At 52.4% G+C, this 14,381-nt stretch overlaps 1 protein-coding gene across 2 annotated transcripts in view, besides 3 other annotated features; it reads right to left on the bottom strand.

Annotated features, from left to right (window-relative positions):
* Positions 1–6,764: 6,764 nt before the first annotated feature.
* MCM5 (minichromosome maintenance complex component 5) overlaps positions 6,765–14,381 on the bottom strand; it is a 54,892-nt gene continuing 47,275 nt past the window's right edge. Inside the window, exons 17-18 of one of the 2 annotated variants that reach the window (XM_047441366.1) lie at positions 7,674–7,797; positions 6,765–7,371 (exon numbers count right to left, since the gene is read on the bottom strand). In XM_047441366.1, the coding sequence (XP_047297322.1) occupies positions 7,702–7,797 (96 nt within the window). In that variant the 3' untranslated portion in view covers positions 6,765–7,371; positions 7,674–7,701. The remainder of the gene's footprint in view (positions 7,372–7,673; positions 7,798–14,381) is intronic. The other variant, XM_006724242.5, reaches the window with a different exon arrangement.
* Positions 11,792–12,757: an enhancer, noted in NCBI's record as "H3K27ac-H3K4me1 hESC enhancer chr22:35845032-35845997 (GRCh37/hg19 assembly coordinates)". NCBI's record gives its function as "activates a minimal SCP1, AML or CMV promoter by ChIP-STARR-seq in naive H9 embryonic stem cells {active_cell/tissue: H9 hESC(naive)}" and the evidence as "EXISTENCE:reporter gene assay evidence [ECO:0000049][PMID:30033119]".
* Positions 12,758–13,724: an enhancer, noted in NCBI's record as "NANOG-H3K27ac-H3K4me1 hESC enhancer chr22:35844065-35845031 (GRCh37/hg19 assembly coordinates)". NCBI's record gives its function as "activates a minimal SCP1, AML or CMV promoter by ChIP-STARR-seq in naive H9 embryonic stem cells {active_cell/tissue: H9 hESC(naive)}" and the evidence as "EXISTENCE:reporter gene assay evidence [ECO:0000049][PMID:30033119]".
* Positions 13,760–13,819: an enhancer, noted in NCBI's record as "active region_18909". NCBI's record gives its function as "activates an Ori minimal core promoter by ATAC-STARR-seq in GM12878 lymphoblastoid cells {active_cell/tissue: GM12878}" and the evidence as "EXISTENCE:reporter gene assay evidence [ECO:0000049][PMID:35858748]".

Raw genomic sequence — 14,381 nt, 5'->3', positions numbered from 1 at the left:
ATAAGCAAATGGGATTAAATTCAGCTCAACTCACTCCCAAGATTGGCAGGAAGTCCTTGATAGAAGTATTTTCAGGCCAGGTGTGGTTGGCTGTTGCCTGTAATCCCAGCACTTTGGGAGGCCAAGGCGGGTGGATCTCTTGAGCCGAGGAGTTTGAGACCAGCCTGAGCAACATAACAAAACCCCGTCTCTACTAAAAATACAAAAATTAGCCGGCTGTGGTGGTGCATGCCTGTGATCCTAGCTGCATGGGAGGCTGAGGTGGGAGGATCGCCTGAGCCTGGGAGGTCAAGGCTGCAGTGAGTTGTGATGGCACCACCCACTCTCACCTGGGTGACAGAGTGAGACCCTGTCTCAAAAAAAAAAAAGAGAGAAAGAAAAGAAAAAGAAAGAGAGAGAGGGAAGCATTTTTAGTTCCTTCCTCTTGGGTCCACGGGTCTTACAAGAACCCCAAGGTTCCCTGGTCCCTGGGAAATGGAGGTGACACTGGCCTCAGCTGTTAGGGGCTGAATTGTGTCCTGCAAAATTTCATCTGTTGAAGACCTAGGCCCCAGTACCTGAAAATAGGACTTTATTTGGAAATGGGGTCTTTAAAGTGGTAATTAAAGTCAAATGAGGTCCTTAAGGTGGGCCCTAATCCCGTAAGCCTGGTGTCCTCCTAAGAAGAGATTAGGACACAGACACACACAGAGGGACAACCAAGTGAGGACACAGGGAGAAGACGACCACCTACAAGACAAAGGCAGAGGCCTCAGAAGAAACCAACTTCGCCAACACCTTGATCTCAGACTCCTACACTCCAGAATTGTGAGACAAGAAATTCTGTTGTCTAAGCCACCGCATCCGCCTAGGCTTTCAGACAACAGTGTCTTCAGAGCATCCACCCTGTGTGCCAATTTCTCCTTTTCAGCTCTTCAAAACACAAAGTCTTGGCTAATGCCCTTCCTTCCCCGAGCAGCTGTAGGGCTAGACACCACGTAAGGACGTTTCTCAGTCTTCTTGTCTTTCTTCCTCCTTCTTCCCGCCCTCCCTTCCTTCCTTCCTAACCTTCTGCAGCCTCAGGACCCTTGCAGTTGCAACCAACCTCATTTTTGCTTGTTTCTTTTCTTTTCTTTTTTCTTTTTTTTTTTTTGAGATAGAGTCTCACTCTGTTTTTGTTTTTGTTGTTGTTGTTTTTCGAGACAGAGTCTTGCTCTGTTGCCCAGGCTGGAGTGCAGTGGTACATTCTCAACTCACTGCAACTTCTGCCTCCCGAGTTCAAGCAATTCTCCTGCCTCAGCCTCCCAAGTAGCTGGGACTACAGATGTGCACCACCACACCTGGCTAATTTTTGTATTTTTAGTAGAGACAGGGTTTCACCATGTTGGCCAGGCTGGTCTCGAACTCCTGACCTCAGGTGATCCTCCCGCCTCAGCCTCCCACAATGCTGGGATTACAGGCATGAGCCACCGTCTCCAGCAGGCTCATTAACTTTTTTACATTTTTTTTTCCTGAGACAGAGTCATGCTCTGTTGCCCAGACTGGAGTGCAGTGGCATAATCTCGGCTCACTGCAGCCTCTGCCTCCAGGGTGCAAGGGATTCCCCTGCCTCAGCCTCTCAAGTAGCTGGGACTACAGGCACGCGCCACCATGCCCGACCCTGTCACCCAGGCTGCAGTACAGTGGTGCAATCTCGGCTCACTGTAACCTCTGCCTCCCGAGTTCAAGTGATTCTTGTGCCTTGGCCTCCCGCATAGCTGGGATTACATGCGTGCGACACCACACTCAGCTAATTTTTGTATTTTTAGTAGAAATGGAGTTTCACCATGTTGGCCAGGCTGATCTTGAACTCCTGACCTCAGGTGATCCACCCACCTCAGCCTCCCAAAGTGCGCAACTAACCTCAGTTTATTTTATTTCATTATTATTATTTTGAGACTGAGTCTCTCTGTCGCCCAGGCTAGAGTGCGGCGGCATGATCCCGGGAAGAAAATAGCGGCTGAACGATCCGGCACAATAGGATGGGCAGAGCCCACTGGAGTTCCCTTAGAGTGAGCAGGAGCATAAAGCCCAGTGGCCAGAGATCTTGGGCAGAGCCCGCTGCAGGAACACAGAGATCAAAAGGAAGATAAACAGAGGACAGAACTCAGACCCAGAGTCAGACAGCACTCTGCCCAGGTCTGCGGCCACCAGCTGCAGGAGCCTGAGCACCTTCCTTAACCTCTCAGAGCCTCTTTGCTCATCCATAAAATGAGGAATAAATTATTCCTCCCTCGCAGGCGGTGCGGTGAGGATGAAATGAGAGAGGAGTTTGAGGCATGTGGCTCTGTGCACAGTTTTGTATAGAATACCTCACTTAGCCTTCCTCCGAACCTCAGTTTCCCCATCTTCGAACTGGGGGTCGCCATATTCCCTCCTCAGAGGATTGGGGTTTGATTGGAGAAGCAATGCGCAAACCACTGGAACATTTAAGACACACACACCAGAGCACCGGCATTGGTGTTCCCCACCCACCGGGAGGCATATCCCACGGGCTCTGGGACTCAGAAAGGAAATTCTCTCAGGGCCTGCAGGCTGAGGCTGAGTCTAGAAGAGCATGAGTGGCCTGGGGAAGGAATCCATTATCTGCCCAGGGTGGCCAGTGCTCAGGTGCACCCTGCACCCCCATCTCTGCACCCCACCCACACTCAGTGACATGCTGGGCGGACGGAGCAGAGTGGAGACGTCAACCTGCCTGAACATGCCAAGTGCCCACGTGAGCAGGGGGTGCTGTTATGCAGCAAGAGCCTCTTGGTCTTCCCGTCTCTTCTTTCTCTCCAGATGTTTGACCCTCAGGGACTCCTGTCTCCTACCCGGCCTGAGGTCCCAGACGGTGTGATGTGGAGTGTGGACAGGCACTCAGCCTCAGGGGTGGTGCAGACCTGGGCGTGGGGCCTTGCCCTGTCCCTTCCTGGTGGTGTGACCCCACTGGGACTCCCTCTCCTCTTCTAGGGGCTCTACTGAGTGAGGAAGGATGCTCGTCTCTGTCTGCAGGAGGCCGGGAGAGACTCCAAGGGGACCTCTCACTAAGCAATCTGAGTATAATTGAATCCTATTTTCCGCACCCTGGGAGACTGACAGTCAATGGGAACCCAGCGAGGGCCTGCTGAGATAATGAACAAGGAAGTCCTTGGAAAACTGCAGTGTGCATGCAAATGGGCCCCTATGCCAGCCTCATTCACACAGATTTTTAAACTCCTGAAAGCCGGGGCAGTCATGCTTGCTTAAAGTGAAGTAGACCCATGCATTGGGGAAGATCCTTTCCCTTCCTGGGGGCTGGAGAGGGCGACAGTGACAGGCACCCATCAGGCTCCTGGAATGCTGCAAAATAATCTGAGCATCTTCTGTGGCCTGCCCCCGCCGGCACCTGCACCCCCATCTCTGCACCCCACCCACACTCAGTGACATGCTGGGCGGAAGGAGCAGAGTGGAGATGTCAACCTGCCTGAACATGCCAAGTGCCCACGTGAGCAGGGGGTGCTGTTATGCAGCAGGAAAAGGACAGGAGTGGATGCTTCTGCCCAGAAGGGGTTCTCTTCCTCGCTGCCTCCATTTCCAAAAAGACACTGAGGTTCAGAAACTGAAGCTCAGCAAGCCCCATATACACACACAGCTTGGAAGCAGCAGAACGGTGATTCCAGCCTGAGTCACCACAATGTCCTGGCTTTGTCCCATGACAGCATGAAGCCTCCAAGTCCTCCATTTGTCCCCTCCCTCTGTCCCCCACCTCTCCCTAATCCCAGTCCCCTCACCTAGGTGGCTCTCCTACCTCCAGGCTCCCTCCACTTGGCTCCAGCCTGGACCCATCTGTGGAGGTGCCTTTTCCACAAAAAGCTTGCTTTACGTTTCTGTCCTAACTTCGCTCAAGAACCTGCTATGACTCCCTATTACTTCTAAGAATCAAGCCTGAAATTCCTAGCCAGGCACAAAAGGCTTCTTGAGCATCTGGTTCCATCTCACCTATATAGTCCCACCTGTCCTTGCCCTGCTTACAGACCCTCCTCTCCAAGTGGGCTGATCTGTCAGCCCCTCCTCTAAGAAGCCTCCCCAGCTGCACAGACCCACAATAGTTTCATCTCCTCTGAAACATATATATAGTGGGGAGAATAATGGCTCCTCAAGAAGTTCATGTCCTAATCCCTGGAGCCTGTGGATATGTTAGGTTACACAGCAAAGAGAAATTCGGGTTGCAGAGGGAATTCAGGTTGCTAATCAGCTGGCTTTATTTTTATTTTATTTTATTTTATTTTTTGAGACAGAGTCTCACTCTGTTGCCCAGGCTGGAGTGCAGTGGTGCGATCTCGGCTCACTGCAAACTCCGCCTCCTGGGTTCACGCCATTCTCCTGCCTCAGCCTCCCCAGTAGCTGGGACTACAGGTGCCCGTCACCACGCCTGGCTAATTTTTTTTGTATTTTTAGTAGAGACAAGGTTTCACCACGCTGGCCAGGTTGGTCTCGATCTCCTGACCTCGTGATCTGCCCACCTCAGCCTCCCAAAGTGGTGGGATTACAGGCGTGAGCCACCGTGTCTGGCCTCAGCTGGCTTTAAAATAGGGAGGGTATCCTGGATTCCCCTGGACCCAGTGGAAGCACAAGGCCTTTTAAAAGTGGAAGAGGGAGGCAGACAGGTCAGAGTGACGTGATGTGAGAAGGATTTGACAGGCCATCGCTGGCTCTGAAGATGGCAGGCAGCCACAACTCAAGGAGCACGGGCAGCTGGAAAGACAAGAAAACGGATTCTCAGCTAGGCACGGTGGCTCATGCCTAGAATCCCAGCACTTTGGGAGGCCAAGGCAGGAGAATCGTTTGAGCTCAGAAGTTTGAGACCAGCCTGGGCAACACAGTGAGACCCCATCTCTACAAAAAATACAAAAATTAGCCTGGCGTGGTGGCACATGCCTGTGGGCCCAGCTACTGCAGAGGCTGAGGTGAGAGGATCACTTGAGTCTGGAGGGTCCAGCCTGCAGTAAGCCGTGTTGATGCCACTGCACTCCAGCCTGGGCGACGTATAGGAACCTGTCTCAAAAAAAAAAAAAAATAGCCAGGAGCGGTGGCTCACGCCTGTACTCCCAGCATTTTGGGAGGCCGAGGCGGGTGGATCACCTGAGGTCAGGAGTTCAGGACCAGCCTGGCGAACATTTGTACTAGAAACTACAAACATTAGCTGGGCGTGGTGCTGCGCGCCTATAATCCCAGTTACCCGGGAGGCTGAGACAGGAGAATTTCTTGAACCCAGGAGGCGGAGCCAAGATCGCGCCATTGCACTCCAGCCTGGGCAACAAGAGCAAAACTCTGTCTCAAAAAAAAAAATTAAAAAAAGAAAATAAAATGGCTGGGTGCGGTGGCTCACACCTGTAATCCCAAAACTTTGGGAGGCTGAGGCAGACAGATCACTTGAGGTCAGGAGTTCGAGACCAGCCTGACCAACATGATAAAACTCAGTCACTGCAAAAAATACAAAAATTAGCCAGGCATGGTGGTGCGTGCCTGTAATCCCAGTTACTCAGGAGGCTGAGGCAGGAGAATGGCTTGAACCCAGGAGGCGGAGGTTGCAGTGAGCCAAGATAGTGCCACTGCATTCCAGCCTAGATGACAGAGTGAGGCTGTCTCAAAATTAAAAAAAAAAAAAAGAAAAAAGGAAGAAACATAAACATAAAATAAAGAAAATGGATTCTCCTCAAGAGCTCCAGAGGCACCACACCCCTGCAGACACCTTGATTCTAGCCCAACTGTATCTGTGTGAGATTTCTGATCTATAGAATTGTAAAATAATAAATTCATTTTTTTTAAGCCAATAGGTGGTAATTTGTTAAAGCAGCGATAAGAAGCTAATACACCCACCCAGAGGAAACCATACCAGCTGCCAAAATAATCTGGGGCCTGAGTCCTTTGATGAGCCACCTAACTCATTAGCCTTGATTTCTTCATCTGTAAAAGCCGAATGGCAACGTGACCTCTTAGGTCTGTCGGGAGGGCTGAGGGATGCTGAGGACGATGTAAGCCCCATGGTTCTCATTGCTGCTGAGGTGGCGCAATCACTCTGAAGACAGATATTAATGACCCCCAGGTTCTCCCTTCTGCAGATTAAAAATCCCAACTCACACCTAGTGTCATTCCTTGCATTTCTAATCACTTATAGGAAGGGCCTTGTCTTCATAAATAAGTTACCAGCATCCCAGGGCTCAGACTGTCTTCATTAAGGACTTAAAAAAAAATTATTCTTCTGGGTATATAGGTAGCTCATGTCTGTAGTCCCAGAACTTTGGGAGGCCAAGGTGGGTGGATCACTTGAGCCCAGCAGTTTGAAATCAGCCTGGGCAACATGGCAAAACACTGTCTGTACCAAAAAAAAAAAAAAAAAAAAAAAAAAAATATATATATATATATATATATATATATATATATATATTTTCACAAAATTAGCCAGGCATGGTGGTGCACACCTATAGTCCCAGCTACTCAGGAGGCTGAGGTGGGAGGATCACTTGAACCCAGGAGGTCAAGGCTGCAGTAAGCCATGATTGCACCACTGCACTCCAGCCTGGATGGCAGAGCAAGACCGTCTCAAAAAAATCATTCTTACTATTAATAATAATAGATTATTATAAATAATTATTATAAATAATCTGTTATTTTTTGTGTCTTTTGTCTCTATCTTTTATCTTTTGTCTCTATCTCTGTCTGTCTCTGTCTCTGATGCTTTTGCTTGTCCTGACAGGAGGGAGAGCTGAGGAGGGAAGAGGAGATTATTATAAATAATCTATTATTATTATAAACTATTATTATAAACTATGATTATTCCAGTAGTTCTCGACCAGGGCCAATTTTGTCTCTGGGGACATCTGTCAATGTCTGGAGACATGTTTGGTGGTCACAACTGAAGGATGCTACTGGCATCTAGTGGGTGGAGACCAGGGGTGCTACTCCACATTTTGCAAGCACAGGGAAGCCCCTTACAACGGAGACTTATCCAGGCCCAAATGTCCACAGTGCAGAGGCCGAGAAGCCAGATGTTCAGCACGTGCTAGGCTAGTTGGAGACATTTTGCATCCATGATCTCCAAACCTTACAACAACTCTGCAAGTCAGCACTGTCCGGCAGAAGGTCAGAGGCTCAGAGAGGTCAAGGAAGGTGTCCAAAATCACACAGTGGGGAAGAGGCTAAGCCAAGATTTCCTCACGGGACTCTGCCGTCTGCTCTCAAAGCCAGGGGGGCCCTCCTGACTGTGTCCACCTTCTGCAGGCTGTGGGGTGTCATGTCTGTGTCACAGGAACCTCTTGCCGATGAAGACCTTGGTGTCCAGTCTTGTCCATCCCATCAGAGCCCCTGGAAAGCTCCTACTGCCCCCGCCTGCTGCAGCCCAAAGAAGAGAGAGGGGAGGGGAGAAGGGAGGTGCTCGGAGGATGCTCTTTTCTTCAGTGGCATGTGTTTGTTTAATAGAGGGCAACAAATTTCCCCAGGACGCCCCTGTGGTGTAAATATTTACCCATCAGGAGCTCCAGGAGGACCCTGTCCTGGAGACAACGTGAAGCCTTAGAGAACGTGCAGACTTGGAAGGGGAGCAGAGGGAGCCAGGAAGGTGGTGAAGGGGAAGGCGTTGGGGAGAGGAGGAGGGAAGCAGAAAGAAGGGGAGAAACCCCTCTCCCAGCACCGACCTCACACATGCTGCCGTCTCTCTCTCATTCACTCTATCGCCGTCTCCAACTCTGTCTGTCTTTCATCTCTATCTCTGTCTGTCTCTGTCTCTGATGCTTTTGCTTGTCCTGACAGGAGGGAGAGCTGAGGAGGGAAGAGGAGAGCGGGCTGGTGGCAGCCAGGTGGAGACTTGTCCCCCGAAGTCTCCAGACACCCCTTCCTAAGTATCTCTGTCTCTGCATCCATCTCTGATTCTGCCTCTTTCCCAGGACCCACTCCCTCTCCCTCTCCCTATCTCTCTCTCTCTCTCTCTCTCTCTCTCTATATATATATATATATATATCTTTTGTCTCTATCTCTGTCTTCCTATATTTGTCCCTCTCTGTCTGTCTGTCTCTGATTCACTCTGTCATTCTCTCCTTCCCTGTCTGCCTTTTGTCTCTCTCTCTCTCCCTGTCTTTCTGTCTCTGATGCTCTGCCCTGTCTCTGTTTCTGTATATCTGTCCCTCTGTCTCTGTCTTTATCTCTCTGTCTCTATTTATGTCTCTATCTCTGTCTGTCTCTCTGATTCACTCTGTCATTCTCTCCTCTGCCTTGTCTCTATCTCTGCCCCTTTCTGTCTCTGATGCTCTACCCCATCTCTGTCTCTCTGTATCTGTCCCTCTGTCTCTTTCTCTGTCTCTGTTTCTATCTCTCTGTCCCTGTCTCTGTCTCTGTGTCTCTCTGAATCACTCTGTCAGTGTCTCCTTCTCTGTCTTTTGTCTCCATTTCTGTCCCTGTCTCTGACGCGCTTGCTCAGCCCCGTTGTCTCTGTCTCTCTATCTCTGTCCCTCTGTCTCTCTGATGTCCTGTCTGGAAACACAGACTTGTGACATAAAACAGGTGACAGCACTCAGGTCCAGGCTCTGTGAGGCCCAGTGTCTGTGCCTGGACCCAGGGAGGCTGCGTGTCTGCAGGGAGGGCAGGCCCGTGTCGTGTCAGGATGGACAGGCAGGCTGAGGTCTTCAGGGAACAGAGGGGCAGAAGCCAGGAGGGAGGAAGTGGCCAGTGAGAGCCCCTTCCCCAGACAGCAAGAGGCCGTCACCCTCCCCCTGCCCCTGAGCTGCACAGATAGCATCTCAGCCCTCAGCTTCACCCTGAGCAGCCCTCTCCATGCCTCCCAGCCTCAGTTTCCTCATCTGCAAAGCAGGGATAGCGGCACTTTCCTCTCGGGGTGGGTGAGAGTGCTCCAGAGTGACATGAAGGAAGCCGCTGGTGAGACCCACATGCAAGGCGGACGGGACACACAGGATCCTGTCCCTCTCTCTCAGGGCTGAACTCTACAGCACGTAGAGTGCTGTACAAGTGGCAGAACTATCTTGAAAATGTTCTATTTGCACAAGAACTGGCCACACTGGCACCACCACCCCAGCGGAGGAGTCGGACTGATTATTTAACACAAACTCACACACAGGGCTAACCAGGAGCTGCAGAGTCAACGAAAAGCCAGGCTTCCAGTGCCAAGGGCTTCTTTCTCACTTTACAGCTAGTACAGAAAGTGAAGTGCCCTGCCCTGCCCTGCCCGCTGCCAGACGTTTCCGCATGGTATTTCATGTAGCCCAGAGGTGACTATGATCCTTAGCGTCACTTTACCGTGGAGGAACGTGAGGCGGCCACCCACCTGTTTATTCAACACACATCTGCCGGGCACCTGCCCGGCTCCATGCTCCAGACACAAAGTGGCCGACCAGGAAGCCAGAGTCCCTGTGGCGTGGAGCCTACGTCCTACTGTAGGCAGACAACAGAAACACCACACGGTTCCAGGGTGTGACATCTGCCATAAAGAGGGTGGAGAAAAGTGGTGTGGTCGAGGCCTGCGTGGGGGTGGGGAGGGGTGGAGTGATCCAGGCAGGGGGTTCCACAGGTGCAAAGGGCTGGGTGCTGGACGAAGCTGAAGGCTGTTGGAGGACCAGGGAGGAGGGCAGAGTCTTGGAGGCCTAGGTCAAGTGATGCCCAAGCCCCCTGCAGGTAAAGGCAGGCACCAAGTTTCACCCTACTCGTTTTCTGGGTGCCTGGTTTTTACACATGGATGAGGGGAGCAGGAGAGGGAAGAAAAAAGGGCAGAAGCCAGGGGCTGAGATAGCACAGGGCAGGTGGGGGCCCAGGTGCGTCTAAGACCCTCCCACCCCATCACCCTGCAGGATCAGGCACCTGAAAGGGGATCTTGCCCCAGGGGGTCTCAGTCCCCTGCAGAAGCCACAGGGCCTGGATTCCCTGGAATCAGCCTTGTCTGTCAGATCCCAGCTGCTTTCCTTACCACCCGCAGGCCTCAGGGCTTCCCCGCCTCTCATGCTCCCTTCCTTCTCCCTAGAGAGAGGGGCTCATCCTTTTTACCCACTCAGGAACCGCTGCTAACAAAGCTGGGCGCCAGAGCCGCTGACATCATATGCTGAGGGCCCATGTCTGCTTCTGCAGGGGGACAAAGGACAGACGAGTTAACAAAGACAGGGGCAAAGTGAGGCAGTAACTGAGAGAAACCCAACCCCTGGGTCCGGCACAGAGATAAATGAGGGCACAAAGCCCCCTCTCGAGTCACCTGGTCGACCTGGAGACACTGCCAGGCTCGAGGCCCGTCTGGGGCTTGTCATGAGTCAGAGAACTCTGGAGATGGCAGATCAATAATTGTCAGAAACAACCGGCCGGCTGAGGTTAGGCTGGGGGCCTCCCCCATCTCCATGAACGCGCAGCTTGCGTTGGCAGAGCCGCCTGGCAAGGGGGCCGATCTCTTCGCCTTGCTGAGGATAATCTCCCCACACTGAGACCCGCAAAGTTTGACTTAAATGTTCCCGTTGCCTGGGCAACCTTCTCTGCTGGTTCTCCCGTCATTCTTCATCGAAAACCCTGGTAGGAACTTTTTGCTTCAATTGGAAACTTACAGTTGCCAAGGCAACCCCATCAAAGCATCCTGAGGTTGCAAGTGGGCTGTAGGTGATGGGAGGAGTCCCATCTATTGTTGGCCCAAGGTGGCTGCAGAGAGGGGAGGATGGATGGGGCAATGGTGGGTGAGGTGAACACCATTTGGGGTAGAGCATGGAGGGGAAAGAGGGAGTTTCCGGGAAAGAAAGGACAGCAGGACTCCACAAGTGCATTCATTCATTCACTTGCTTGTCCATCATTCATTCCCTTGCTCATCTACAACCACTTGAGCACTTGTTATGTGCTGGACTCTCTTTGTTTCCTGAGGGCTTGGGGGATGAAGGAGTGGGTAGACCCCTCCTCAACACACACAGCCCTCTGACATGGAAAAGCGTGAGCGGACAGAGTGCTGGTTTTGGAGTCAGATGGACCCGGGTTTTTCTCTGGATTCCCAACTCTTTCCTCATTGACAAATGGGGCATAAAAGTAGAACCACTTCTGAAGATGTAGGGAGCCCCAGACGAGGCCTCAGGTGGAGAGGACCAGTGTCAACGTGTTGCCGTGGGGACCGGGTTGTTGGTTGGATCTTCTCATTCGATGCTCCTCCTGTCTTCAGAAGTCCCTGGTCAGTGACTGTGGCTCCGGTTGGATTCTCCAGTGGGAGTGAAAGGGCCAACCCTGAAGGTGGCCATTTGGTGGCAAAAGGGTGGCAACGTAGAAACCAGGCGGAGTCAGGCGGGCGAGTCTGGGCGAGTCCTCACCCACTTAGAGACAGCGCTTCCTCCCCTGGAGTCTGTCCCAGGAGGGGAGAGGGAAAGGGACAGGGGAGGGAAAGAGAGAGGTGTGTGACCCTGGAGGGGGTCTTCCTGCGAGGGCTTTCTAGGCACGATCTCATTTAATGCCAGCAGTCCCGGGGGCAGTTTTCCTTCCCCCTGTTCTGCAGATTGGGAAACTCAAGATCAGAGAAGTGGAATAAGGTCGCCCAGAGAGGAAGCAGCCTCTCCGGAACTCAACCGTGGGCCATGTTCTTTCCAAAATCCCTCATCTAATTCTCGTGACAGTCCCAGGAGGCAGATTCCATTATCCCCATTCTGTTGATGAGAACAAATCTGAGAGGTCAGACAGCTCACCTAGGATCACACAGCTCCTATAGCACCCTTCCCTGTCTCCTTCTCAGCCCAAGGCCCAACCATCCCAGTACTGTGGGAGGCTGAGGCAGGAGGATTGCTTGAGGCCAGAAGTTTGAGACCAGCCTGGGCAACATAGCAGGACCCCATCTTTACAAAAAAAGATTTTTAATTAGCTGGGCATGGTGGTGCACACCTGTAGCCCCAGCTACTCCAGTGGCTGAGGCAGGAGGTCCACTTCAGCCCAAGAGGTTGAGGCTGCAGTGAACAGTGATTGTGTCACTGAACTCCAGCCTGGGAGACAGAGTGAGACCCTGTCTCTAAAAAAAATAAGAATAAAAATATAAATCTTAGGATGAGTAGGATTTGGCCCAAGAAAGAGGAAGGGCTTTCCAGGCAGAGCATAGAGCATAGCCAAAGCCAGTAATAGGACAGAGCAAGGTGCCGGAAAACTGCCACATGTCAGCATGGGCGGGGGCACAGAGGCCACAGCAGGGGCAGAAAGACCACGGCTGGGACAGAGGGGCCACGGCTGGGACAGAGAGGCCACAGCTGGGACAAAGAGGCCACGGTTGGGACACAGCGGCCACAATCAGGACAGAGAAGCCACGGCTGGGCAGAGAGGCCACAGCTGGAACAGAGAAGCCGCAACTGGGAAAAAGAGGCCATGGCTGGGGCAGAGAAGCCACAGCAGGGACAGAGAGGCCATGGCTGGGACAGAGAGGCCATAGCTGGGGTACTCAGCATGGACTTAAGTGCAGAGACACGATAGGGGCAAGGAGCCTGGGCCTCTGTCAGTTCCAAAGACACAGCGATTCATTTCTGCTTCGTTTCTGTGCTTGCCTAGAACGTTCTTCCCTGACTGTATGGCTGGCTCTCCTCCTCCTTCAGTTCTAGGCCTGAGTGACAGCGGCTCAGAGAAGCCAACCCTGACCAGCCCTGAGAAGCAGACGCCTCAGGGAGTCCTCATCTCAGTACCCTCGGTTTCCTGCAAAGCCCATACGGGTTGCTTTCCTGCTCCTAGTTCTTCAACCTGCCCTGCTGACAACCCCCCTTTCCTCCTGTGGCTTTGCCTCATCTCCCACCAGAGGCAGGGTGTCCTTTCCCACCACACTGATGCTGGACTTGACCATGAGGCTTGCTTTGGCCAATGGAATGTGGGCAGAAGTGAGTGTCCCAGTGCTGGGCATTACAGGTCCCCATTCACTTCTTGCCCGTCTGCCACCACCATGGGACAAACAAGTCCCAGGTGGCCCAGTGGTCCATGGATGAGAGGCCCAGGAAGCAGCCCTGGAGCTAAGCCCGGTCTAGTCACTCCATCTGTTGATCCCCACTCAACAGACAGCCTTCAGAGTGAGAATAATGCGTGTTGTTTGAAGCCACTAAACCTGGAGGGTGTTCGTTTGTGGCATTATTATGATAATAGATGACCAATGCCCAGCACTTAACACCTCCCTCAGTTCCCTCTGTCTCCTCATCGCTGTCTTCTCCCACACCAGGCTGGATGCATGCTCCTGGAGAGCCAGGACCCTTGTCTGTCTCATTCCCCATTGCATCCTCGGGGTCTGATGCCCGGCCTGGGGCACTGCGGAACTTCAGATGTGTGCTGAGTGAGTGAATGACGAATACGATGATGTTTTGTGGGGCGTTTAGCAGGAGTGGAGGGTCTGGCATGTGGTTGGGAAGATGACTCCAGCTGCTGGAAGAGGGGAGGGATGGCAGTGGGGAGGACTCTGCAGAGGGGGCCAGTGGGGAAGCTCCCACCACGGTCCAGAGGGAGACAAAGGAGGCTGGGACCCCAGAATGAGCAGAGACGAAGACATAGCTAAAGCCAACTTCGCCTTCCCGTAGGCCAGGCTCTCCACATAGCTCTCTTCGTTCGATCCTCATGACCACTGTACGAGGCAGGCGCTTTGATCATTCTTATTTTCTAGAAGAGGAAACTGAGACATAGAGAGTCCGGCCCTGAGGTCCTCATGCTGACTCCTCCCCCAAGCCCTTGTTTCCGGTCTCATTTTCAGAGTAAACATCAGCAGACATGAGACACCGCATGTGTGGGAGGAGGGGACAGTTCCCCACCTGGGGAGAAACCAGGGAAAGGGCGTTGTTGTTTCTTGTAGTTTTATCAAACCTGCTGGGTCATTCCCCTGGATTTTTTTGGGCACAATGCCAGGCCCCAGGGGCCCCGTTTCCCTGAGTGGACTCGGGGAGGCAGGATCTGTGAAGACTGAGGGGGCTAAGGGCATAAAGCAGCTTCACAAGAGCACGCTGCTGCCCGGTCTCTCCCAGCCCCGCTCCTTGCCTGCCCCAACCCGAAGGCTGTGGACGGTTTCCTCCTTAAGAGTTAATGAGCTGGCCAGGTGTGGTGGCTCACACCTGTAATCCCAGCACTTTGGGAGGCGGAGACAGGCCGATCACTTGAGGTCAGGAGTCCGAGACCAGCCCGGCCAACATGGTGACACCCTGTCTCTACTAAAAATAGATTACGGGCATGGTGATGTGTGTGCATAGTCCCAGCTACTCGGGAGGCTGAGGCAGGAGAATCCCTTGCACCCTGGAGGCAGAGGCTGCAGTGAGCCAAGATCGTGCCACTGCACTCCAGCCTGGGCAACAGAATACGACTCTGTCTCAAAAATAAATAAATAAATAAATACATAAATACATAAATAAAATAACAACAACAAAAAGTCCATAAGCCCCACACCC

The sequence above is a fragment of the Homo sapiens genome, chromosome 22 (genome assembly GCF_000001405.40).
Source record: "Homo sapiens chromosome 22, GRCh38.p14 Primary Assembly".
In the NCBI taxonomy this organism is placed as follows: domain Eukaryota; kingdom Metazoa; phylum Chordata; class Mammalia; order Primates; family Hominidae; genus Homo; species Homo sapiens.
Note: the sequence above shows the minus strand (reverse complement) of the source record. Positions and strands in the feature narration are given on the sequence as shown.